At 47.4% G+C, this 25,978-nt stretch overlaps 1 protein-coding gene across 2 annotated transcripts in view, besides 5 other annotated features; it reads left to right on the forward strand.

The window, feature by feature from the left end:
• Positions 1–7,449: 7,449 nt before the first annotated feature.
• Positions 7,450–25,978, forward strand: part of WNT5B (Wnt family member 5B) — a 30,157-nt gene continuing 11,628 nt past the window's right edge. The window contains exons 1-3 of one of the 2 annotated variants that reach the window (NM_030775.2): positions 7,450–7,537; positions 21,692–21,828; positions 23,052–23,299. In NM_030775.2, coding sequence (NP_110402.2) covers positions 21,749–21,828; positions 23,052–23,299 — 328 coding nt within the window. In that variant the 5' untranslated portion in view covers positions 7,450–7,537; positions 21,692–21,748. Of the gene's footprint in view, positions 7,538–19,624; positions 19,766–21,691; positions 21,829–23,051; positions 23,300–25,978 lie in introns of those variants that run through there. The other variant, NM_032642.3, reaches the window with a different exon arrangement.
• Positions 20,543–20,732: a silencer, noted in NCBI's record as "silent region_4116". NCBI's record gives its function as "represses an Ori minimal core promoter by ATAC-STARR-seq in GM12878 lymphoblastoid cells {active_cell/tissue: GM12878}" and the evidence as "EXISTENCE:reporter gene assay evidence [ECO:0000049][PMID:35858748]".
• Positions 20,763–20,822: a silencer, noted in NCBI's record as "silent region_4117". NCBI's record gives its function as "represses an Ori minimal core promoter by ATAC-STARR-seq in GM12878 lymphoblastoid cells {active_cell/tissue: GM12878}" and the evidence as "EXISTENCE:reporter gene assay evidence [ECO:0000049][PMID:35858748]".
• Positions 20,763–21,071: a biological region, named in NCBI's record as "Sharpr-MPRA regulatory region 3814".
• Positions 20,777–21,071: a silencer, noted in NCBI's record as "tiled region #3814; HepG2 Repressive DNase matched - State 20:ReprD, and K562 Repressive non-DNase unmatched - State 7:EnhWF". NCBI's record gives its function as "represses a minimal TATA promoter and a strong SV40 promoter by Sharpr-MPRA in HepG2 and K562 cells {active_cell/tissue: HepG2 | K562}" and the evidence as "EXISTENCE:reporter gene assay evidence [ECO:0000049][PMID:27701403]".
• Positions 21,253–21,352: an enhancer, noted in NCBI's record as "active region_5808". NCBI's record gives its function as "activates an Ori minimal core promoter by ATAC-STARR-seq in GM12878 lymphoblastoid cells {active_cell/tissue: GM12878}" and the evidence as "EXISTENCE:reporter gene assay evidence [ECO:0000049][PMID:35858748]".

Here is a 25,978-nt window from a genome sequence, read left to right on the forward strand (position 1 = left end):
TTTTGTTTTGTTTTTTGAGACAGGGTCTCACTCTGTTGCTCAGGCTGGAGTGCAGTGGTGTAATCATGGCTCACTGCAGCCTTGAACTGCTGGTCTCAAGCAATTCTCCTGCCCCAGCCTACCAAGCAGCTGGGACTACAGGCATGCGCCACCACACCCAGCTAATTTTAAAATTTTTTGTAGAGACAGGGTGTCCCTATATTGCCCAGGCTGGTCTCTAACTCCTGGTCTCAAGTGATCCACCTGCCTCAGCCTCCCAAAATGCTGGGATTTCCGGCGTGGACCTCACTGCCCAGCTAAAACAACTTTTAAAAGGTATATTAGAGATCCAACTAGATTCTACTCTTGCATTTATCTGCAGCATATCAGTTTGGTTTGCCCATGGTTAGGTGGTTCTTGGTCTGGGTCTTAGTTTCATGCGTCTATGCATATGTGGAAACTCATCAAGCTGTACATTTAAGACTTGTGCGTTTTAACTCTGTGTGTTTTGTTTCAATTTTAAAAAGTTTTTATTTATTTATTTTTTAAGTCAGAAGGGGTTTAATGGGTCAAGAAAAGTTTACTTCTGTGCACACAAATTATCTCAAGGTCTGTTTGTTCAAACAGGGTAACCAAACAGGGACCGATTCTACAGTGGCTGCTGCCCGGAGTTTTACACAGATGGGAGCATGGCCGTACCCCTGAACCCTCCAACCTTCTCTTGCCTGTGATTACCACTCCTTCCCTGGCCTTTTCTGGCCTGGCTGCTTTCACTGCTGAAGTAGGGCAAGGATTTTGTTTCTCTTCATTACCCTTCACCTTGCCAGGCCTCTGTTCATCCCATCCCTCGGCCCCTAGTACAAAGTATGCAGTTAGCACTCCATAAATATTGACTTTAATTTTGATTATTTTTCTCTGGTTAATATGTGTTGGGGGCCGGGTGCGGTGGCTCATGCCTGTAATCTCAAAACTTTGGGAGGCCAAGGTGAGAAGATCACTTGAGCCCAGCAGTTCAAAACCAGCTTGGGCAATACAGTGAGATCTAGTCTCTTTTTTTTTTTCAAAATAATTAAAAATAAATATGTGTTGGGGTGGGCAGTGAGTGCGGGAAAGAAGGGGGAAAGGGAGATTGTTTCTAATGTACAGACGGGGAGACGTCTGGGGCTGCGTAGGAGCTGGGGTGAAGAGCACAAGGCATTCTGGTTTTGCCTCTGTATTTGATAATGTTTTCTTAATGTTGGAAAAATGCAATAGTTTTATCATTTGCCACATACCTTCCCATGCTGTTCCCTACTGAACCAAATCAGGTCATATTATACTGGCTATGTTATACTGCGCTGTTTTCCATTGACTTTTTGGTTATTGATATTGGCTTTTAGTGTTGGGTGTGTGGTTTCTTTTCACACAAACATGAATACGTTGTACCACTGAGATTTTCCTAGGGGTTCAGTCATTTTGAGTTGGAGATGGTCATTGGGATGCATTTTTACATTCCTGTTCTCACTTTCTTTTTTTTTTTTTTTTTTTGAGACGGAGTCTCGCTCTGTCACCCAGGCTGGAGTGTAGCGGCCTGATCTCGGCTCACTGCAAGCTCCGCCTCCCGGGTTCATGCCATTCTCCTGCCTCAGCCTCCCGAGTAGCTGGGACTACAGGCGCCCGCCACCATGCCCAGCTAATTTTTTGTATTTTTAGTAGAGATGGGGTTTCATTGTGTTAGCCAGGATGACCTTGATCTCCTGACCTTGTGATCCGCCTGCCTCAGCCTCCCAAAGTGCTGGGATTACAGGCATGAGCCACCATGCCCGGCTCCTGTTCTCACTTTCATCTGTGGGTGCCACCCAGAGCATAGGCTTTCTATGGAACAGTGAATGTGCTTACATATGAGTAGAAGAAGCGAGGTTTTTCTTATGCAGCCCGGGAGACAAGGAAACCGCTGTGATGCCGTGTGCCAATAGCATGCATTTATTTGTGGTATATCAGAGCCTCAGATCCAGCCATCCCAGACAGTCACGTCCACAAGGATGAGACCCTTTTGCAGGAGACAGAGAACACACCTCCCTTATTCCTGCTCCAGCAGTTGAGATCTGCTGGAGACCCTTACTCATGTTTCCTGGACTTGAACTTTAGGACACTGGCCACTGGGCATTTTTTGCAGAGGGTACTCATTAGAATTTCTCTTTCTGTCAGTTTTTTAGCCTATTTTTTAAGCTAAATTTCTAAATGCTTTTGAAACCAACGGTGTTGTTTTATTTTGCTGATAGAACCCAGATGCGAGGAGGGAGTTGTTTTTTTTTTTTTCCTTCCATCATTTGAATCATTGCACAAGCACCGTATCACCTAGAAACAGAGGGTGATTTCAGGACAGTGCTGTGGCCACAAAGCATGGTTAGGTTTGGAAAAGCAGCAGGGAAAAAAAAATGCCTTCTGATTCAACACTTCCGTTCTATGTGATTTAAGCACATATCTAGTTACAAGGTTTCTTTGGCAAAAACAATTTTTTGCTCTGGAGTTAGCCAGGCAAAGCCAGCGTCCCCCTGGCCAGTTGAGTTTGAGGACCATCTGCCTCACACATCATTAGCAGCATTGTTTGTTTAGGGCCCTTCTGTAGAATCTTTATTCATGGAGAAGTAGAAGAAAACTCAAACAGCTCAGCTGGATTTCCAGGTCCTGCGTGGAATTTGTAACCCCTTTGACTTCTCAACTGAGAAAATTGGATGCGGCTGTCACAGAAAGAGAATAAATACGGAACCCCACAATGCTATGCTTGCAGCCACTTTTATTCCATTGAATTTCACACATAATGAAAGGCAGGCATACTCTGAGAGGCACGGAGCTGAACCAGTGCTGGGAGTCCTGCAATTCCAAGTAGGTTGAGCTGGTGATAATTCTGGGCAAAATACTTTAGTCCTCTTTAGTTGGCCGCTGGCTAAAGCATGCGGGCAGTGATACGGCTCCTGTTATCCTACTGCGAGTGTTCTGCTTTTAGAACTAAGAAAACGGTGAAAGAGGAAAGACAAGTGATTAGTTAACACCTAAAAGATGTATGCCCTCACGAATAATCAAAGAAAGGCAGTTTAAAATTTGATAGCATTTTTTCCCTATTGTGAGAAAGAATTTTTTAAAATGATAATATCCAAACATCTTAATTAGCTTTTGTCATTTAAAGCTAAAACCCAGTTTAGTGTTTTATTAGACTTGACTTTCATGAAAGGTTGGGAATTCTAAAAATAACTTATTTTGAAAGAGTAATGAATGGCCCAACAAACTTAATGGTCCAGTTCAAGCTATTGGTTGACTGGTCAATAGATGCTAGAGAAGTTAGGACTGGAAAAGACGTTAGGGCTTATGTGGCTCTGCCCTGTCATTTTCTAACTGAGAAGGCTGGGACCTAGAGACGTTGTGTGACTTGTCTAGGGTCACACAGTTGTACGGAGGCTGGAATTGCATTAGTAAAACATGATGAGTTGTTATTTAGATCTTGCTCTCAGCAAATAGCTTCATATAGGATTAAACTTTTTGTTTTCAATACCTCAAGGATGTTGAGCTTCCCTGTCTTTCCAGACAGACAGGATGTCCGAGACCTCAAATCAGGCACTGTTGCCTCATTTATTCTTTGTCCTTAGATGAACGAGTGGCTGGATACCTCTACATCTTTAGAAAAAAATTTTTTGAGATACAGTCTTACTCTGCCACCCAGGCTGGAGTGCAGCTGCATGATCGTGGCTCACTGCAACCTCCAACTCCTGGGCCAAGCGATCCTCCCACCTCAGCCTCCTGAGTAGCTGGGACTGCAGGTGTGCATCACCATGCCCAGCTAATGTTTTTATTTTTGTAGAGATAGGGGTCTCACTGTGTTCCCCAGGCTGGTCTGGAACTCCTGGGCTCAAGTGATCCTCCCACCTCAGCCTCCCAAACTGCTGGGATTGCAGGCGTGAGCCACCACATCCGGCCTAGATCTGTTTAATGGGGATAATAATCCTGGCACAATTGATGTCCCTTTGATAATCTTGAAACCCCTTGAGCAACTACAAATAAAAATAAGGCATGTACAGTCTAAAAGGGGGATAAACGTATATAGGTAAGTCTAATACAAAACAGAATAAGTGTTGTAAGAGGTTGTATTAGTTAAGGTCTTGAGGTTCCTGTAACAAACAAATCTCCCAAATGTAAATTGGCTCTAGAATCATAGAAATTTATTTCTAGCCCATGTAAAAGCCAAAATAGATGTTCATTATTATCAGGCAGGTCTCCCTCTGGTAATTTTGGGGCTTGGGCTTCTTCTGATTTATCACTCTACCTTTGGCCTGGTTTTGAAGGCCACCATGCTTGTCTGCATCAAGCTGAAAGAAGAAAAGCGAGCTTGGAGGTCTCCTGGTTGGAGATTTTTAGAGGCCAGGCCTGGGAGCTGCAGACATCACTTCTTCTAGTATACCTTTAGATAGCACCCAGTCATATGACCACCTCTTTGTGCAGTGGATGCTGGGTAATGTAGTCCAGCGGTGTGCAATTTTAGTGACCATCAAGTGATCTCTGCTACAATGGGCTTTGAGGGCCCAAAGGAGGAGGACGTCATATGAGAGTGAAGTAACTTATTGGACAAATACACACATGCCTAGGAGGGTGGAAATAATTAATAATTATTTCTACTATTAACCGTGATTTTGTCTTAATTTTAATAAGAGGGTTATATATCTCTTACATATTACAGATAATCTTCAGGAATCTTAGGAATTCCTAAATTTATCCTAATATTTAGGAATTCCTAAATTCCTGAAAATAAGGTGGGATATGTATCTCAATTTGTTTGTATTTTCAGGAGTGGTGACTCTTTCTGATCCATGGCCTGTGCTTACAAGATAGCCGGATCCCATGGAGATCACACCTGCTCCAGCTGTCTCATGCAGCTTGGGAGGTGACCACAGAAACAGTGGGCCCTCCCCAAAGCCACATGCGGATAGACTATAGTCAGGACTCTTCATCTCCATTCAGCAGTGACCAGAGGCCAGCGGCCCGAGGCCTGTGCTGGTGGTTTGTTCCAGCTGCGGACATTTGTCATCCCTTGGCTGCATAAGGCACAGACCACACCTCCTCGTCTCCTTTCCACTCAGGCTGACAGTGCTCTCCTTCTGCCCCTTGTAGTGTTTCTACTGAATCAGACCTCCCAGCTGGGCTCCCACCTTCCAGATGCTTACCCTCCACACTCCATCCATCATTATTGGAGCAAACGATTACCAGAGCTTTTCTAAATCCACATCTGATGGTGCCTCTCCCCTGTTCAGATGCCTCGGATGTCTCCTGCAGATGACAAGAGACGCCCAAACTCCTTATAAGGGGGCCCCAATAGGAAGGTTCTGCTTCACGAAGAATTAATGACTTTTGTTTGTCTTTAGATTTTGGCTTTGGTTCTCTCTCTCTCTCTCTCTGTCTCTCTTTCTCTCCCCCTTCCCTCTTCTGTTTTCTGAAGTTGAATTTTGGACTTGAAACTACGTGTCATGTGTTTTTCAGGCCTCTGTGCCTTTGCTCCTTGGGCGGGTCTCATTCTCCTATCTCCAGCTGTGAGAATCCTGTGTGTCCTCTTAGGGACAGGTTCAAATACCATCACCCCCAGAAAGCATCCCCACCGTTGGAACGACATAGTCTTTCTCAGCTGTTTGGATAGTAATTGATACCTCCATTATAACGTATTGCCCTGCTAAATGTTATAATCACATATGTTTGCCTCACCTCTACGAGATTCCTGTTATTCAACCAAGAGTTCCTGTTACTCAACTTTGAGTAAGACCTAATAGATGCTCAATAATATTAGTTGACTTGAATTAAGAGTCACAGAAAGAATTCCATTTCGATTACTTTTTGGCATTTTCACTGGGTCTGAACTTTTTCGTTTACTCTGAGTAGCAAATTTAAAATAGCAAACAATTTGGTTCTGATCATGGGAAATTGCTCTCAAGGTCATTGCAGAATGGCTGCTTTTCCTAAAGATTACCTGCAATGATGGAAGTATAGGTTGTCATTGGAATAGAAAATGGTTGTCTCCATGGCTGGTAGGTGGGGTCTTGCTCCTGGGCGGTAGGTTAGAGTTTGCTACCCTTACCTTGAGTGCCATGGTACTTTGCAAGTAACTCTGTTAAAGCTCCTACTGCACCACGTTTAAACAATGGATTTCAAATGGAACTTTCGGTTTTGTACAAGTGATGATTTGTGTTCTTGCCTGGCTTCCACTCTAGACCAGCACTATGAGACAGTCCATAAGCTCTCTGTGATCATGGAAACGTTCTATAATCCGTGCTGTCCAAAACAATAGCCACTAGCCACTTGTAGCTACTGAGCCCTTGAAACGTGGCTTCTGCAATGGAGGAACTGAACATTTAATTTAAATTCATTTTTAATTTAAATAGCCACATGTGGTCAGTGGCTACCATCTTGGGCAGTGATATTGAGTTCCTAGGAGAGTAGCATTGTATTAATTGATTGGAATATCCTATACAGTACTGTGTATTGAGTAAACCTACAGTAAGCATGTGTTAAATGATGAACAGTTAACATTTATTGAGTGCCTGCTGAATGCTAGGTGCTTCCCAGAGGCTGTCCTTGTGTTACCTTCATTTTCTGCAGAGCCCCGTGCTGGGGCAGCATAGACAGCAAGCTTGACCCCCATCATTGCAGCCTTCACCAAGAAAACAGGCAGTCGAGGGAGCAATTTAGCAAGAGGGTCAGGAGTTCCGTGAAAAGAAGCCTGGCAGAGCCATAAAAGAAACTAAAGAATTTTGGTGGTGAACCAAAAGCCTCTGTAACCTGCCCAGGCCTGAATTTGGTGATCATGCTTTTGCCTGAGGCAGCCACAGAGGTTATTTAATTCTCAAAACTAGGGCCTGTGAGACCCACAAACCTGGTCTGAGGTTTGCTAGCAGGGACTCTAGTTTTGGCAAAGGGAATGTGAACTGCTTAGCATTGGAGGGGGAGACAGGAGAGCTGACCACCTTGGCTCTGAATGTTCTCATCGGTGAGGAAGGAACTGGTGCTGTGCCTGAGTGGGCGTGAACTTGTTTTGCCTGTGGTTTTCTTTAGAAAGCTGCTTGGTTCCTCTTCTCTCAAAGGATTTGGAAGGTCTTCCCCGCACAATCAAAGGAGCAGTTTGAGACACAGGGGCGACAGCTGGGGACAGCATTAGAGGGACCCACATTACTTAGAGCTACTGGTTTCCCCCCAGATAAAAACCCAGGTGTCGTTTCTGCATGAGCAGTGAGTGACGAGGAGAATTCGCTTGCAGCCTCTCCGCTACGCTCTGCCTTTAGAGTCCCTCTAGCCGTGGTCCCTGTGTTGCCGCTTGCCCCTGGGTACCTGACTGATGAAGACAGGCTCTGGGGCTCGCCGTTGAAGGTGCTGTGGACCCAGGGGTGCTGTCCTTCCGCTGTTCCATTCATTGCAACATTCATCTCCTGCCTGTTTACAAAAATGAAGCAATTATCCTATTCTTCCAAATGGAAACTGCTAATTTTTGAAGCAGAAGGTTGACAGCTTCAGTAAGATCTCAAGAGAGCGAGAAGACTGGAATCAGGTGAGGCCATAACTTCTTATCTAAACTTAGTTTCTGGGGTGGAATTACAGAATTGCTTAGAAAAAGAGTCAATATAACTACTTGCAGAAAATACCACCTGTAAAAATCCAGATTTATAAATGGTGACTATGCATTTAGTACAATGATTATCATATATGTAATATATAAAATATATATATAATATGTATATTGAGGTCCCTTTAAAGAACAGCATGATGGGCTGGCTCATGCCTATAATCCTAGCAGTTTGGGAGGCTGAGGCAGGTGGATTGCTTGAGCCCAGGAGTTCAAGACTAGTCTGGGCAACATGGTGAAACTCTACAAAAAAATACAAAAATTAGCTGGGCATTGTGGCATGTGCCTGTAGTCTCAGCTACTCAGGATGCTGAGGTAGGAGGATCACCTGACCACAGAGAGATCAGAGCTGCAGTGAGCCATGATCACACCACTGCAGTCCAGCCTGAGCAACACAGTGAGACCCTATCTCAAAAAAAAGAAAAGAAAAAGAAAAAAGAACTGCATGGCAAATTTGAAAGTCTTTTGGAACATGACTTGTGAATGCTCCAAACATTCCAAAATGAATGAGTGAAGTAGCCAGGAGAAAGACAGCAGAGAGCAGTGGGGATTTGGGAAAGTTAGAGAACCTGTGTGCCACCCACCAAGACATTCATATTCCAAAGATTTGTAAACATTGTGTTAGTCAAAGACACTTGGGCTGGGCGCAGTGGCTCATGCTTGTAATCGCAGCACTTTGGGAAGCCTAGGAGGGAGGATTGCTTGAGGCCGGGAGTTCAAGACCAGCCTGGACAATATAGGGAGACCCCCATCTCCACAAAAGAATTTAAAAACTTAACCAGACACAGTGGCTTACACCTGTAGTCCCAGCTACTCAGGAGGCTGAGGTGGGAGGATCGCTTGAGCCCAGGAGTTCGAGGCTGCAGTGAGCTGTGATCATGCCACCGTACTCCAGCCTGGGTGACAGTGAGACGATGTCTCCAAAAAAGAAAAGACAGCTAGCTGACTGCCAGTTGGTGATCCTGGTTTTAAAAGTTGCATGGTTTCCCCAGGTCCTTTAAAAATACGCTCCATTTTGCAAACACAGTAGTACCTCTACTTGGTAGCACAAGACACATTTTTATTCTAATTAGCGCATGGCATAGAGAGAGGTTATCCACCTGCCCTTGGTGGTGATCCAGAAGTCCATTTATTTACTTCATTCACTCTAAGTAGACAGGAATTTGCAGAAAACAGTAGCAATTGCACAAATAAATGTTTTTCCCCTATAGTACAATACCCCAGAACTCTAGATCTGGTGAAAATAGATTACTTGCAGGACAAGAGCATCTAAACACCCCTCAATCCTCCAGCCCTTGAAAACAAAGTCCATAGCCTTGTTCTCTTGAAACAATTCCTAAACCACACTGACCTGTGACCTATACACTTCTGCCTTCTTTTCTAGAGCATATTTTAAAACTATTTTATTAGTATTCAGGAGAAGGGAACTTCCTCTTTCTTATCATCTGCACAGAATAAGACTTCCAGTGGACTTTTGCTTGATACCTGGGGAGAAAATTGTGCTTTTCCAAGTAAGATGAGTCATCTGAGATCTGCCATTTCTGGGAATTGTACAGGGACCCAGAGTCTTAGGGATCTGCTCTGCCTACTTTGTGGAATTTATTCTCACAGTGCATGAGTTGGTCACTTTCACACTGCTCCAGGCACCAGGAGTTGGAAGCTGGAAGCTCTATTCTCTGGAACATCAGGCATTAGATTTTAGTGTGAAGGCCTCAGGAATTGTTTCTGCGCTCCTGCCACCCTGCACTGTGATTGGGTCTGTTTTGCTATATACTTCCCAAATTGTGTACCTTATCACTGGGAATGGCACACACATTTCTGGGGAAGGGTAGTTTAGCATTTTTCTTAAGGGCCAGAATTTAAATCTCATCACTCCTACCAAGCCCCCAGCCCCTCCCACCAAGCCCCCAGCCCCTCCCCACCCCTAAGACATTTCTTCTCCTGCAAGCCAGAGAAACAATGAGAAAAGACACAGAATATTTGGGAGATGAGGCTTCCCAAAGGACTGCTGCAATCATGGTGGAGCTGATACAACCCTCTCCCCGCCCAATTTTTTATTTTCATTTCTACCAACTGTAGATTATGCATACACACAAGCAGATCACACAAAAGAATACTATGCCTCAGGGCTAGGAGGATTCATTGAGCAAAGCTTGGAAGGAAGAACTAGAGAGAAACCTAGAGACAGAGACCCTCGGGAGAAATAATTAAGGCTGGCAGGGAAAGGCTGTGTTAATTGAGCTGAGAAGAAAGATGAGCATCCGGGGATTCTCGTAAGAGGTGGTGGAATTTGCAGATAAAGTCATTGGTACATTATTGGATTCATCTTTGGTTACTACTTTTTAAAAATGTTTTTTGGGGAAGAATGCTATCTAGAAAAAAATTCATGCAAGAGAAACAGATAGCTACAGAACTAAATAGTAATAACTGACCAAAAAAAAAAGTGAGACAGAGGGTGATTTTGCCATATCCTCATTTCCTGGACTGAGCAAGAGAGGAAGCGAAATGCTGAGTCGGCTCCTGGCGTAGCGGCTGCCATTCATGTGCCGTTGATCCAGGCCTGGCACTGCGAGAGCAATACCCATTGGTTTGCACAGAACTCCCTCCCACCAGCCCCACCTGCCCTCAAATAGTCATCCCACGTGGTTGTCTCTACCTAAATTTCCCAACATGTTTCTTTTTGAGTATGAGGATCTTCTTTTTTAAGTCAAAAAATAAAAATAAAAAAGGTCACATGCCCCATGAGACCATAATTGTACTTTCCGCCAAGAAAATATAATATATAAAGACCTTCAAGCCATTAGGTATTAATATGACTTTTTTATTTTTAAATATTTTTGTTGTCTAATATAATGCAGAAAATTGCATACAGCATAATACATGCACAACTTAATAAACTGCTGTAGTGTGAACTGCCACATATCCATCACCAGGTTGGAAAATAGAACATTGCTGGTATCCCAGGAACTTCCTCGAGCCCCTTCCTCATCACAGCCCCCTCCCTTGGAAACCACTCCCTGATGTCATCATTTCCTTGCTTGCTTTTCTTTATGGCTTAACCACCAATGTGTGGGTCCCCAAACAAGATAGTTTTGCTATGAATGGAACCATAGTTCATATACTTTCTTGTGACTTGCTTCTTCTCAATATTATGTTCAGAAGATCCATGCATGTGGTTGCATGTAACTTGTAGTTTGTTTTCCTTCCTGCATAATAATTCTTTGTTGTAATATATCACAGTTAATTGTTTTGTCCATTCTATTGTTGATGGATATTGTTGCTTCTGGTCTGAGGCTATCAAGAGTGCTGCTATTCTTTTGTTGTTGTTTTTTTTTTTTGACATGGAGTCTCAGTTTGTCACACAGGCTGGAGTGCAATGGCGCGACCTTGGCTTACTGCAACCTCCGCCTCTTGGGTTCAAGTGATTCTCCTGCCTCAGGCTCCCAAGTAGCTGGGACTACAGGCACCCGCCACCACACCCAGCAAATTTTTTTTTTTTTTTTTTAGACGGAGTCTCGCTCTGTGGCCAGGCTGGGGTGCAATGGCACGACCTTGGCTCACTGCAACCTCCACCTCCCGGGTTCAAGCGATTCTCCTGCCTCAGCCTCCCAAGTAGCTGGGACTACAGGCATGCGCCACCACCCCTGGCTAATTTTTCTATTATTGGTAGAGACAGGTTTCACCATGTTGGCCAGGATAGTCTTGATCTCTTGACCTCGTAATCTGCCCGCCTCAGCCTCCCAAAGTGCTGGCATTACAGGTGTGAGCCACCGCGCCCCACCCTGTTATTTTGAAAGTTAGAGAACTGCCATGGGGAAATTCATTTATCCTTTCAAGAGATAAGAATGGGACATAAGATATTGCAATTTGTTAGAGAAAAAGAGGTCAATTAGCAGGCTCTTGTAGTAGCTCATAGTATGACAATAGGAATGTTGAGTAGGGAATATATTCAAAAAACACTATAGAGATACAATCAAGAGACCTTGGCAATTGATTTGACGTGGAAGGCAAAGAAGAGGGAGGAGTCACAAAGGATACCAAGATTTCAGGCCTGGATACAGGAAGAGAATTGGAAGACAGAGAACACGCATGATTGATATGAAGGTGTGTAATCAATCAGCATTTTAACTTCTATATTTGGCTCTCTAGGAAGATTCACTCAACCCACATTTTATGATCAAAAGGACAGTATCCAGGGTGACTGGTCCCCTATGTCTTTGACCCCATTCCTGCAGTGTTGCCCCCAGAAACTGGAAGCATGTCATGATGGGAGTTTTCCTGGGTAATTGATGCTGAATTATCAATGGGAATACCAAATCAGATTTTTTAAAAAGTTAATTTAACATTTATTATTTTTAGAGACCTCTGTCATCCAGGCTGGAGTGCAGTGGTACAATCATAGCTCACTGCAGCCTTGACCTCCTGTGATCCTCCCGCTTCAGCCTCCTAAGTAGCTAGGATTACAGACATGTGCCACCATATCCAGCTATTTTTTTTTTTTTTTTTGGTAGAGATGAGGCCTCACTATGTCGGCCAGGCTGGTCTCAAACTCCTGGCCTCGAGTGATCCTCCCATCCCGGCCTCCCAAAGTGCTGGGATTACAGATGTGAGCCACCATGCCTGGCCCCATATTAGATTTTGGAGGGACTACATAAATTTCACGAACAAGCAATTCTGAAAACAGTGGAAATTATTGAAGTCCTCCTTCATTGCACTATCTCTCCTCTTCTTCGAAAAGCACCTTGAAATTTTCTCTTTGACCAAACCACATCTTCATGTGAAATCCTTTCTGCTGTTTTCCTCCTGTTAAAAGCCCTCATATTCTTCAAGGCCCTACTCAAATCCCACATCCTGAGTACAGCTGCTCCCTTAGGCTCTTCTGACACTTCTTTTTTTTTTTTTTTTTTTTTGAGACGGAGTCTCGCTCTGTCGCCCAGGCTGGAGTGCAGTGGCGTGATCTCGGCTCACTGCAAGCTCCGCTTCCCGGGTTCACGCCATTCTCCTGCTTCAGCCTCCTGAGTCGCTGGGACTACAGGCGCCCGCCACCACGCCCGGCTAATTTTTTGTATTTTTAGTAGATGACACTTCTTATAGTGTACTTTTCTGGGCAGGTTTTCTGTTTTCCCCAGCTAGACCAATGCACCTTGGGGCACTCCCCAAGGTCTTACACATTTTTACATTATCTTATTAAGCAGTGCCAGCCTTTACTCTTAGAAGCTGAATGTTACTTATGTCTTTGAGGAAAAGACAGAGAGTTATGTCTGGGACCAGGAATCTCCAAAATCTCAATTAGCAGTGGATTCTCAGATAAGGGGAGGTACAGTCAAGCAGCTTCCTCACAGCAAATGGACCAAGTTGTATGGAAGTCGAAGGGACTCTCCTTGTCTTCATGAGAGGCTGGCCTTCGTGGCCTGCTTCCTCTTTCCCTGAGAGCCAGAGGAGGGCTTTTCTTTTCTTTCAGTCAACAAATATTTTTCTAGCAACTCCCACATACCCCTGTGTACTATCCTATCCACTGGGGAGAAAATGGTAAATAAGACCGTTTCCAGAGCATATGAGGGACAGAAACAAAAGCACAACAGATGAGCATGCCACACTATTCCATGTCACATTAAATGCTGTGGCTAAAACATGTGAGAAGCTAGAAATAGAATGATGCTGCTGGGGGCCTTCTTTGGCAGAGATGGTTAGAGAAGGCCTCTTGGAAGGTGTGGCCTCAATGACAAAGGAGCTTGCTCTGCACAGAGAGAGGAGAAACCATTCCCAGAAGTCGGCAAGGCACAGCGGGGAGAAACAGGATGGGTTTGGGTAAGGAGGTATCAGGAGTTTGGGGTTCTAAAGCACAGCATGAAATCCTAAAGAGGATGGAAAGGTTGGCGGGGCCAGATTCTGGAAGGCGTCATGTAATGGGGTGAGGAGTTATGACTCATCCTTTAGGAGATAGGAAACCTTTGAAGGGTTTTTTGTTGTTTTTTTTTTTTTTTTTTTTTTTTTTGAGACGGAGTCTCGCTCTTTAGCCCAGGCCGGACTGCAGTGGCACAGTCTCGGCTCACTACAAGCTCCGTCTCCCAGGTTCACACCATTCTCCTGCCTCAGCCTCCCGAGTAGCTGGGACTACAGGCGCCCACCACCACACCCAGCTAATTTTTTGTATTTTTAGTAGAGATGAGGTTTCACCGTGTTAGCCAGGATGGTCTCCATCTCCTGACCTCGTGATCCGCCCGCCTCGGCCTCCCAAAGTGCTGGGATTACAGGCTTGAGCCACCGCGCCCGGCCTCTTTGAAGGGTTTTAAGCAAAGAAGTCACATGGTCAAATCTAAGCTTTGAACAGAGCTCCTCGATCGCTATATCTACTGAAAGGCAAGACAGTTTTGTGCTATCGAAGTAAGAGCCTTTCTTGCTGAGGACATAGTTTCTTGGTGAGTTTCACTGTTAAGGCCAATCTAAAATGTCCCTCCACGTTCTCTCCAAACCTTATGTTTCTTCACGTGCACTCTGTACCTCACCTCTGCATCTTCCATGAGCCCCTCACACCAAACCAGGATCCACCCTTCCAGACCCATAGCTCTTGACCTGGTTTGTCTTTTCCATCCCAAAGTAAAACTAAGTACCAACTCTTTAAAACTATTATGTTTTAATTCCTCCAGCTTTAAGCAGCCTGGCCTGTTCTCAACCCACATATCATTTTGGCTAGGGGAGAAGTCTAGTTCTTTCCGCCCACAAGGCTGTGTGTGTATCTAAGTGTGTGTATTAATACTAGTAACTTTGCATGTTTTGTAAACCTTGCTTTTTGTGATATCTCCTGCATATCAGAATGTTGTTTTCTGACTTTCACACTATTCGCAGCCGTAGTAACAGGGCAATGGTGCAACGAAGAAAAGAAAGAGGCTGGGTACCGCGGCTCACGCCTGTAATCCCAGCACTTTGGGAGGCCGAGGCAGGTGGATCACCTGAGGTCAGGAGTTCAAGACCAGCCTGGCCAACATGATGAAACCCATCTCTACTAAAAATGCAAAAATTAGCCGGTCGTGGTGGCAGGCACCTGTAATCCCAGCTACTCGGGAGGCTGAGGCACAAGCATCACTTGAATCGGGAGGCGGAGGTTGCAGTGAGCTGAGATCATGCCACTTGCCTAGGCAACAAAGTGAGACTCTGTCTCAAAAAAAAAAAAAAAAAAAAAAAAGAGAAAGCAGAGAAGGTGTTATGCTCTAGTGACAGGGAGGACCTGTATTTGGGGAAGAGTAGAAAGATCTGGATTCCAAGCCAGGGTCAACCATTCAATTGCTGTATGAACAAGTACTTAATTTTAGTTTCCCTGTTTTCAAAGTGAGAATAATAATGGCATATGCCACAAATGTTGGCAGAGATTAAATGAGAAAAATAGATGTGAAACATTTAGTGCAGTGCACTAAGAGGTGCTCAATAAATGTTGATTAATACTAGCTATTGTCACTGGTTATCAATCAAAAGACATTTGTTACTGCTGAGTAAAACCATACTGGGCGCAAAGGGGCTCGCAGAGAAAGTAGAAAAGGTAAGTTTGAACCTTTAGGAAGCATTTGATCTACTAGAGAAGTAAGAAGTATATACTTCACCTGAGAAACAGCCCAAGGCAGCATAAGTGGGGTAGGGAGGTGCAGACCAGATACATGGATTCATAAGGGCCGAAGAGGTTGAGACCTCTTCGGTCTCAACCCATGAGAATGAGATTCTCATGGGGTGGGGTTAATCAAGCACAGTTTTATGGAGGGAGTGAATCTTGAGCCTGGATGTGAAAGTAGTTTAATATCTGGATTGCTGCAGAGCAGAGGAGAATGCTTCCTTGGGAAGAGGATCAGAATGAGGTCTTGGGGGAAAAGTGGGGTTTGTTCTAGGAGTAGAAGGACATTGGAAAAGGAGACTTCATGTTGGGAAATTCAGGAAAACAATGAGAGGTAAGATGAGGCCACATTGGAAATAAAGAACTGGGAACCACTATACGTTTTCAAATAGGGGAATATTATGATGTAAAATTAGTATTTTAGGGAAAACTGGTATTGTGTCTATGTGCACTTGTGAGTGAGACCACGAAGAACTACTCTGGTGTTCAGATGCCAGAAGGGTGAGTACTCACCTGGAAATTGGGAAGGAAATGAGTGAACCTGATGTACATTTTAGGAGGTATTTGTCTATTGTGCTGAGGTCCATAAACAGTCTTTCTCTACAGTACGAGAAATGAGTGGCCAAAGGGAGAGAAGCCACAGGACTCCAGCTAGCAAGGCCTGCTCCTCCTCCACCTGCCCCTCCCCTGTCCCATGGAAATCATCCAGTCTGAGGCCCCTCCTTCAACAGCAATGCAGCCAGGAGTTCACAAAGGGAAGCATTTCCTTTCCAAAGACTGCTAAGATGGTTTACCCTGTTATGCCAGGAATGTTAACAAAATTGCAAATGTACTTTTATTCTTTTGTTTTTTCTCTTTTTTTTGAGACGGAGTCTCACTTTGTCACACAGGCTGGAGTGCAGTGGTGCAATCTCGGCTCACTGCAAGCTCCACTTCCCAGGTTCAAGCGATTCTCCTGCCTCAGCCTCCCAAGTATCTGGAATTACAGGCACCCATCACCACGCCCAGCTAATTTTTGTATTTTTAGTAGAGATAGGTGTTGCCATGTTGGCCAGGCTGGTCTCAAACTCCTGACCTCAAGTGATCCACCTGCCTCAGCCTCCCGAAGCGCTAGGATTACAGGCATGAGCCACCGCACCCTGCCTGTTTTTTTTCTCTCTCTTTTTTTTTTTTTTTTTGAGGCAGGGTCTCAATCTGTCACCCACGCTGAAGTGCAATAGCACAATCACGACTCACTACAGCCTTGAACTCCTGGGCTCAAGCGATCCTCTGGCCTCAGCCTCCCAGGCACCACCATGCTCGGCTAACTTTAGATTTTTTTGTAGAGACAGGGTCTCACTGTGTTGCCTAGGCTGGTCTTGAACTCCTGGGCTCAAGCAAGCCTCCCACCTCAGCCTCTCAAAGTGCTGGGATTATAGGTGTGAGCTACTGCACCTGGCCACAAGTGTATTTTTTTTTTTTTGAGACAGAGTTTCACTCTTGTTGCCCAGGCTGGAGTGCAATGGCGCAGTCTCAGCTCACTGCAACCTCCACCTCCCGAGTTCAAGCAATTCTCCTGCCTCAGCCTCCCGAGTAGCTGGGATTACAGGTATGTGCCACCGTGCCTGGCTAATTTTGTATTTTTAGTAGAGACAGGGTTTCTCCATGTTGATCAGGCTGGTCTCGAACTCCTGACCTCGGGTAATCCACCTGCCTCGGCCTCGCAAAGTGCTGGGATTACAGGCGTGAGCCACTACTCCAGGCCAAGTGTATTTTTTTTTTTTTCAGACGGAGTCTCACTCTATCGCCCAGGCTGGAGTGCAGTGGCACGATCTTGACCCACTGCACGCTCCGCCTCCCAGGTTCACGCCATTCTCCTGCCTCAGCCTCCTGAGTAGCTGGGACTACAGGCGCCCGCCACCACACTGGGCTAATTTTTTTGTATTTTCAGTAGAGACGGGGTTTCACCGTGTTAGCCAGGATGGTCTCGATCTCCTGACCTCATGATCTGCCCGCCTCGGCCTCCCAAAGTGCTGGGGTTACAGTTGTGAGCCACTGCGCCCGGCCGCCAAATGTATTTTTAAATTACACATTCTATAGCTCCCCACTGGGTGACCAAGTAAGAGTGCTTTTCTTTTCTTTCAGTCAACAAATATTTTTCTAGCAACTCCCACATACCCCTGTGTACTATCCTATCCACTGGGGAGAAAAATGGTAAATAAGACCGTTTCCAGAGCATATGAGGGAAAGAAACAAAACCACAACAGATGAGCACGCCACACTATTCCATGGCACATTAAATGCTGCGGCTAAAACATGCAAGAAGCTAGAAGTAGAATAATGGCGATGGGGGCCTTCTCTGGGAGGGATGGTCAGGGAAGGCATCTTGGAAGGTGTGGCCTCAGTGACAAAGGAGGCCTGCTCAGCACCCTTGAAGAGGTCCCCACCTAGGCTCGTGGCTATTTCTGGACAGGTTTCTGGATGTGACGGTGCCTGTCTGAGGAGAGGGGCAGATGTGGGAGGTGGCTCCATTTCCTGCAGGAGTCTTGAGATGCTTGAGTCCCTGGGTGCTGGGGAAGTCAGTTCTAGATATCAGTGGGTTTGTGTGAATGGCTAATGACCTGAAATCAACCCCTCATCCTGTGGGGCAGAGATGTTGTTTCAGGCACTGCTCTGAAGTATGGTGGAAAGCACAGAGTTGCTTGGGGTCTCAGCTTTACCTGTCCCGGTCTCTCTTTTTGGTCTCTTAACTCTAGGCTGGATGGACATGGCCCCTTAAGGAAATGAAAGTGAGTGACTGAGTCCTAGCAGAAAAAGGAGGAGATCTTGGAGTTCCTGTCTTCCAACACGCACCTCTTTGGTTGTGATGGTGAAGTGGGACAGTGCCATCTCAGCAGGGACCTTGGATGTGCTCTAGAGGGGGTCTTGGAGGTGTAGCATCGTTACATCCCCTCCCACCATCCTGCCTACACAGTGGTTTTGGGGGCACAGATATTTCAGAGAGTAGTCTTCCCAAGAACCCTACATCAAGTATGCTACCACCCCTTCCCATTCTTGATTCTGGTCCCCTCTTTATTTTCCTCATAGTATTCACTGGACCTAACTTATGATACATTTGTTTGTTCACTGCCATGTCTCTGGCACTTAGAGCAGTAACTGGCACATATTAGGCACCCAGGGTGTAATTCATTTGATTAATGAATGTATTGAATGGCTGCATGGATGAATGAAGAGGAGGAACAGAGCAGATGTCTGACCAGCTCATTCTGGCTTCTGGAAGGATCCTGATTGGGAATTTTGCATCTTTCCCTCCCCACAGCCTCCTAGTCACTACTACTAAAGAATAGAGACCCTGACTCCCACTTTTTTTTTTTTTTGAGATGGAGTCTTGCTCTGTCACCCGGCTGGAGTGCAGTTGTGCTATCTTGGCTCACTGCAACCTCCACCTCCCAGGTTCAAGCGATTCTCCTGCCTCAGCCTCCCAAGTAGCTGCGACTGCAGGCATGTGCCACCACATCTGGCTAATTTTTATACTTTTTTATTACAGGTGAGCTTTCACCATGTTGGCCGGGCTGGTCTCGAACTCCTGACCTCAGGTGATCTGCCCACCTTGGCCCCCCGAAGAGCCCCGCATTCTTAACTACTGTGTTTGGTATGTTTGAATTGACACTTGCCTCTTAGGAAGGGGAATCTTTTTAGACCCTGGGGAAATCTGTAGTTATTGCAAAGGCCTTTTCCTGCCTGTTGGGCATTTACCAGATCTTTCTTCCTACACAAGGAGAGCCTCCCCTGGTTGAATCCTGCTATAAATCTCACTAGTGACCCACAAACAGGGGTCCCAATGTGACCTGCTCATTAACACAAAACCGTCAGCCCCCATACAGCTTCCTGCCTTCCCAGTCGGGTTGAGGCAAGAAATTTCCATTCTGCCCATGCTGATGAAACCAGTCGCCAGCATTTACCTTTCTAAGGGGTCCTTTCTCCTCCCACCCCAGCCCACCCCAGCACAAGAATGTAAGAGAGGGCAAACAGCTGCCTGGCTTCAGTTCTATGGCCACTCAAGAATTGGCTCGCATCTGTCTGCCAGGACAGAGAGCGTCCTGAGGGGGCTGGTGTGTGTGTTGTGTGTGTGTGTGTGCACGCGCGCGTGCATATGTGTGTATGGGGGAGTTCAGTTTCAGGTACCACACATCTGGAAGTCAGAGAAAGAAGCCACTGCACATGTTAGAGCCATTTTGGGGGGCAATTTTTAAAAAAAAAAACATTTTTAATGGGCTGAGAGCCGCCTCGTGGAAAGCCCGGGGCGGGGGATGGAGTAGAAACAGCTGCGGGAGTGATTCTTGTCTCCATATATGTTTATAAGGCACTGAGGGCGGGATTAGCAGCTCCTGGGAAGTCTGGCTCTAGTTACCGTGTCAGCCTGTCCTGGGGGCAGTCACAGCCACAGTGACCATTAGCAGGCACCCAGGCCTGTCTTTGGCTCGGAAACGGTGGCCCCCAATGTAGCCTAGTTTGAACCTAGGAACTGCAGGACCAGAGAGATTCCACTGGAGCCTGATGGACGGGTGACAGAGGTGAGAGGCACTGGTGTGAGGGACAAGTGTCACAGGCGGGGAGGAAGAACTCCGCTATCTGGTGGTGGAAATGTGTGAGGATCAAAGTCCCCAGGGAGAGTAGGTGTTGCGGGCGGCAGGGTGGTGGGCTGGGCACGGGCTGGGCATAGGCTGGGCAGGAGGCTTCGGGGCCGCGGGGAGGAGGCTGGAGAAGCAGGAGGGCACGGGCGGCCCTAGCTCTGCAACCCCGGGAAGGACTGGTAGGTGGAGTTAAGGATATTTGGACAAGGAAACGCTTTGAAGCTTTTCTCTCGTCCTCCCTACTCGGGACCTGGTCGCCTCCCCTCCATAAAACCATTAGCTCCTGGTGCCAGCCCTATCTCTGCTCCATCTCTCGTGGTTCCAGCCGGTGCATTCACAGACCTTCTGCCCCGGGGGACGAGGAGGATTTATGGGGGGAGAGGAGAGGGGGAGGGGCATCCTCCAGAGGAGGGGGGGTCTGAGGGGAGTCGGGCGTGGAAGCTGTTAGTCCCGGGCTGGGGGCCGGCTCACTTCCGAGCTGGCTCTGCATGACAAAGGGGAAGGAGCAAGTGTCTTCTTTGATCTGCCCCCTGCCGGCCCCACACACCTGCCTGTTGGTGCCCCCGCCCCAGCCGAGGCTTCGAGAAGGAAAATCAAAAGGGGGCTTGGGGAAGGGCTGTGTCCCAGCTCTCCTGGACCCTGCTCGGGCCACTGTCCTCTCCTGGCGGCCCCAGGACAAAAATACTTCCCGGGCTGATGACCCGAAGCACCCGCCGCCCCCTCCCGGGGAGCCTGGGGACGCCGACGCGCGAGAGTGGCGCAGTGAGCCGGGGCGCGCGGGGCTGCGCTCGTCAGGTCCGGGGCCCCGGGGAGGCCGCTGGGGGCGCGGGTCACGCCCAGACGGGGGCCCCGGAGGACCGCGGGGGAGCCGCAGGGGCCGTGTGTCCCGAGGCGCAGGCTCGCTCTAGCAGCACTGACCTGCTGCGGGTCCCAGGGCCTGGGGACAGGGGCTCTCGGGGGCGGATAGAGGAACAGGCGTGGGTTACAGCAGGCAGGAGGCCAAGAGGCGGGAGGCCCGGGAGCCAGCAGGGAAGGGCTGTGGCATCTGGAAGATGCGTCCTCAGCTCAGGCATTTGATGCCAGAGCTGCCGCCTGGCGTCGGCAGTGTCCCCGGTGCAGCTGCTGGGCAAGGTACTCGGTGCCGCCCTCGAGGACCACGGTGCCGGGAGGGGCAGGGGCCGCCTAGGGAGGCACCACCTCAGCCGCCAGAGCTTTCCGGGCGGGCGGTTCGCGGCGTGGCTTGTACATTTCTCAGAGAAGCTGCCTTGAGAAAGTGAAAAGTCCTTGATCTGTACGCAGGGGTTGGGACTTAGGAAACCCGCTGAGGGTGAGAAGGGCGCAGATGGAGAGGGGAGACTCCTCCCTGGGTGCAGGTAAATCCAATTCACCAAAATGTTTTAATCCTACAAAGGAGAGCCTGAGGGTCAGAGAAATAAGTCTCTGGGCTGGAATGAGAGGTAGGCACGTGGGGGAGTGGATAGGATGGGCCCCATTTCTTTGGATGTTCTGCAGCAAGGACAGGTATGCTTTACAACAGCCGAAGTGGCCTCCCGGCTGCCGAACGGAGGAACGCCGCAAGCTCCGCTCTTGAAATTACTTGTTTTCATTTCTCTTTGTGGTTTCTCAGCTCATTATTTCTTTGGAAATTAGGTCCTGTGCAGGGTTCCCACAGTTTGGGGTAAGAGACAGAAGTCCTAGGGTGGGAAGATGAGCAGTGGGAGGCGGAGGCTGGAAAGAGGCCGAGCTTCTTTGTGGGGAACACGCAGCACGTAAGCATCAGTGCAACTTTCTCCGCCTCACCCCGGCTCCTGGTCTGCCCTTATCCGCTGAGTTTCCACACTGACTCTCCATTTCTGTTTTCTCCAGGGAACCCTACTCTGGAAACTGTCAGTCCCAGGGCACTGGGGAGGGCTGAGGCCGACCATGCCCAGCCTGCTGCTGCTGTTCACGGCTGCTCTGCTGTCCAGCTGGGCTCAGCTTCTGACAGACGCCAACTCCTGGTGGTGAGTAAGAGGGGCTGAGGTCCTGCCTGCACAGCCGGAGGCCTCCTTCAGCGACTGAGATGAGGAGGAAGGGCACCGTGTGTCACGGTAGTACCTTGATTCCTGGGAGTACTAAGGGCCTCTTTTATCCCAGGAAAACTAAGAACGCTCTGTGTCTCTCTCAACCCTTATCTTTGTAAGGGTTCCCTGAGGATAAAGGTTCCGTTCATTTGATTTTTTTCTCTAATCCTGTCCACATTCCTTTTCCTTGGACCTTCCCTCATGCCCATGAATTGTTAGAAATTGCTCTTGGGTCAACAAGAATATCAATACTTGGTAGTTTTTTGTTCCTTTGTTTTGTGTGTTTTGCTGGTAGGATATAGAATTCCTCTTTTATAAGTCTGAAGGCCAGATGAGGGGTTCACAGCACCATGGGTGGCTGGCTTTCTTCTTATGTTTTAAGGGCTGTTGTCATTGCCAAGTTGACAGGGAAATGGCAGGCGATCACCACCTATTTTGCATGGTCTCTGCCACTAGCATTTTTACTCAGATAGCAAATCTGCAGCCTTCTCATCTAACACTCTATATGGCTGGTAGATGATGAGCAAAAGGGAGAGCCTCTGAACTGGTGGAGAGTGGATGAGGGGAAGCTCAAAGTGAGACATGGCAGTGAAAACAAGTAGACTAGATCGTGATGTATGTAAAGTGATTGGATTTTAAAGGCCCAAAGGGAGTACCACGCAAAGGATTGATTGCTTTCCATGGCTTATCATGTACTTGGGCTGCACTGAACTAGTCACTCCTACTCATTGAATGAGGCCTGTGCTCTCCTGTTGAGGTTTGGCTCTTTTTGCCCTCTATTAAAATGAAGAGCTGCTCCCCACCCCTCGTCTTCTTATCTGCCTGACCCCCATTCTTAAGATCCAGTTCAAATTCTGGCCATTTCCTTATAAAGGCTTCTCTTCAGCCATAAGGGCTATTTTCCTATCTGATCACAGCAGATCCAGAAGCATATCCAGAGTCTGTCTGGGGCATTTGGCATCTCGCATGTCCTTTGTGTTCATGCCTCAGATTCCTTCAGTTTGTCCTTTGAAGGCCAGCACTCTGATTTACTAATTTTTCTTTCCAGGGCCTTGTACACAGGGACGCATTCAATAAATGTGTTGAATGAATGACTTAATGCTGCACACAGGCGTATGCTCACTCCTGGGCCTTTTTTTCCCCTTTCTGGATTGCTGTCCTAGGTCATTAGCTTTGAACCCGGTGCAGAGACCCGAGATGTTTATCATCGGTGCCCAGCCCGTGTGCAGTCAGCTTCCCGGGCTCTCCCCTGGCCAGAGGAAGCTGTGCCAATTGTACCAGGAGCACATGGCCTACATAGGGGAGGGAGCCAAGACTGGCATCAAGGAATGCCAGCACCAGTTCCGGCAGCGGCGGTGGAATTGCAGCACAGCGGACAACGCATCTGTCTTTGGGAGAGTCATGCAGATAGGTAAGAGGCCATTACAAGAGGGCTCGGCCAAGGAACTGCACTCGTCTCGTTTGGGAGCAATTAAGCTCTCTCAGGACTGGCACAGGGAGAGCCCAAAGGCAGCCTAAGTGGGCTCTCTCTAGGCTTGGCAGCAGTGTGCACCACGAGAGAGGCACACGAGGAAGCAGGCTCTGGGAGGCTGCAGAAACCACACGCTTGATGTTCCTCTAGCTCTCTGCCTTCCAGCCTCACTTGGGGCAGGTTGCTTGGGACTCACTGAGAGGGGGCAGGTTGCTTGGGACTCACTGAGAGGGGGCAGGACATCTGAGTTGACTTAGAGTGGATTAGGAGAGCCGCCCACCGCCACTGCCTTTGTGTCTCAGTGCAAAAAAGAGCCTTGGGTAGAGAACCAGAAATTGCAGCCCTGAATGTCTGTTGGATTTTTGCCTCTTCCACTTCAACCTTTGACAGAGAGATAGAAATGTCGGCCAAAGTGTTGATAGCTGTCACTAACCCAACCCCATCCAGTCCCAGCTTTTTCTTTTGAAAGAGATGTGTGAACATGGGGGAAGGGGTCAGACGAAAGAAAAGATGAGAGGGAGAGGGCCAAGTCTTCTGGATTCCTGTCCCTTCCCCTCTCCCACTGCTGGCCAAGGATTCTTGGGCCACCCTATTGCTTAGATGGAGGTGTGATCTGAGGTCTAATTGTTTTAGGTCCTTTTGAAATGCAATCCTCTCCTCTCTGGCAAGAAATTGAGAAATCCGGCCCTATTCTACTGGGTCTTATCCCCAGGGCCATAAAAGGGAAGTGTTAGAATGCTGTGTTCCTTCTGCCTGACATTCTCCCAGAACACCTCCCTTCAAAAGGTTACCTGAGGCTGGAGTTTCCCCAGAGAGGGATTTCAGCCTGGGAGGGGAGTTGGGGAGGTAGAGATTTCTTCGTGCTCCTCTCTTAGGGAGGATACTTGGAAGGCTCCTTCCCCCTCCCACTTATTCCAGACCTCTTTCCCTACCCTCTCTGTCCCATATTGAGAAGTAATGCCCAATGCAGTAGCTCACGCCTGTAATCCCAGCACCTTGGGAGGCTGAGGCAGGAGGATTCCTTGAGGCCAGGAGTTCAAGACCAGCCTGGGTAACATAGTGAGACCTCTGTCTCTATAAAAAAAATTTTTTTTTTCTAAAGAGAGAGAGGGAATTAAAGATGGGAAAAGTACACATTGAAACTTGCTGCTCTCTTGCTTCCTTCGGTATCAACTCAGGGTGCATAAAAGGAAGGTCCTAGTGTTCCTGGGGCAGCTTTCCCAAAAGAGTAGACTTGGGGTTTTAGTGGGATTTACTCATAGTTTATTGATTCTTCTCAAACCCACCTGGCACTTGTCTCTTCTTTCTGGCGAAAATCTTGGCAGCACTTCCTGCCCTGCGTTTTGGGCAATGAAACTAGGACGGCCCAGGTGCAGAGTCTCCTCTAATCTCTTCAGTGGAGTTAATGTTTATTGAAGACCTAAAGTAGGCCTGATGTTGGCTAGATCCTTTTCATGTGTATTTCGTGTGCATAAAGGCCCCAAAGTGAGGCTGTACTTTAGGAAAGAAAGGGGTTGGCAGGAAAAGACACTCCGCTGGGTTCAGATGTGCACTAGGTGGCCAGCGAAAGCAAACCCTGTCGAAGAGAGCCCATCTCTCTGTGCCCTATTCCGTTACAAAATGGAACCCTTCTGTTTGCCTAATTTTCCCCCTTCCTTTTTATAGCATCACTGAAGGCTCATGCTACCTAGGAGGCTGTCCTCCCTTCCTCCCCCCTGAGCCCAGAGTAGCTCCTGGTGAGTCCTCCCTCTCCCTATCTTGAGAAGGACCGTCTAAGGCTTCCTTTCTCCTTTGAAGCTGCTGCAAAAGTCGGTCACCAGAGGGCGGCAGAGCAGCTCGGAGGAGCCTCGGCCCGTTGCCCAGCTTCTGCCTAGGGAGTTTGGAGGCAACTTGGGCTGCTATGGAACAGAGAGGGCATGAAATTGTTCTGCTGTCTCCTGTAGGGAAAAGACGCATGTCCCTCTAGTAGCTCACGGCTGCTTTTTTTTAGCCGTTTATTCTTGAGATGGTTAGAGATTCAACCTGAACTGTTGCGTATATAGATAAACCCCCACGTTGCTTATCCATTCTGAAGCCCCGAATTATCTCTTTCTTGCTGAAGGTAGCAACAGTAGATGGTACTTAGTAGGCTTACCCAAGGGCCCAAAGGCTGCCCCGTGAAGGCAGAGCTGCCCACACTCAGCTTCTGATGAAGACCCGACTGAAAGAGGCAGGCAGCGCACCGGAGGACAAATCAGGATCCCAAACAGTCATGATAGGTTCGAACTGTCAGAGTACAGAACGTCTGGTGTGTTAGTTCAGCTGCAGGTACGTGATTTTAGAAGGCAATTCTGAGAAGGCTGATTCAACTCTGAAAAGCATGTTTGCTAAAGAATGATAGAAATAAATCAGACATATGTAGCTTGGAAAAGTGAAAACGTAAAAGGCTTAATAGTTGTTTTCAAACACTGAAGAGCTGTCAAATGGGAAAGGGATTATAGCAGAGTGCAAGTGCAGCAGGCAGGAATCATAAGGAGGCGTATTTCAGCTTAATACAAGAAGGAGCATTCTGGTGATTGGAGTCATTTGAAAAAGATGGAATGGATTGCTTTGAAAACCTAGCCCACTGGTCTGAGGAAC

The sequence above is a fragment of the Homo sapiens genome, chromosome 12 (genome assembly GCF_000001405.40).
Source record: "Homo sapiens chromosome 12, GRCh38.p14 Primary Assembly".
NCBI classification, from domain to species: domain Eukaryota; kingdom Metazoa; phylum Chordata; class Mammalia; order Primates; family Hominidae; genus Homo; species Homo sapiens.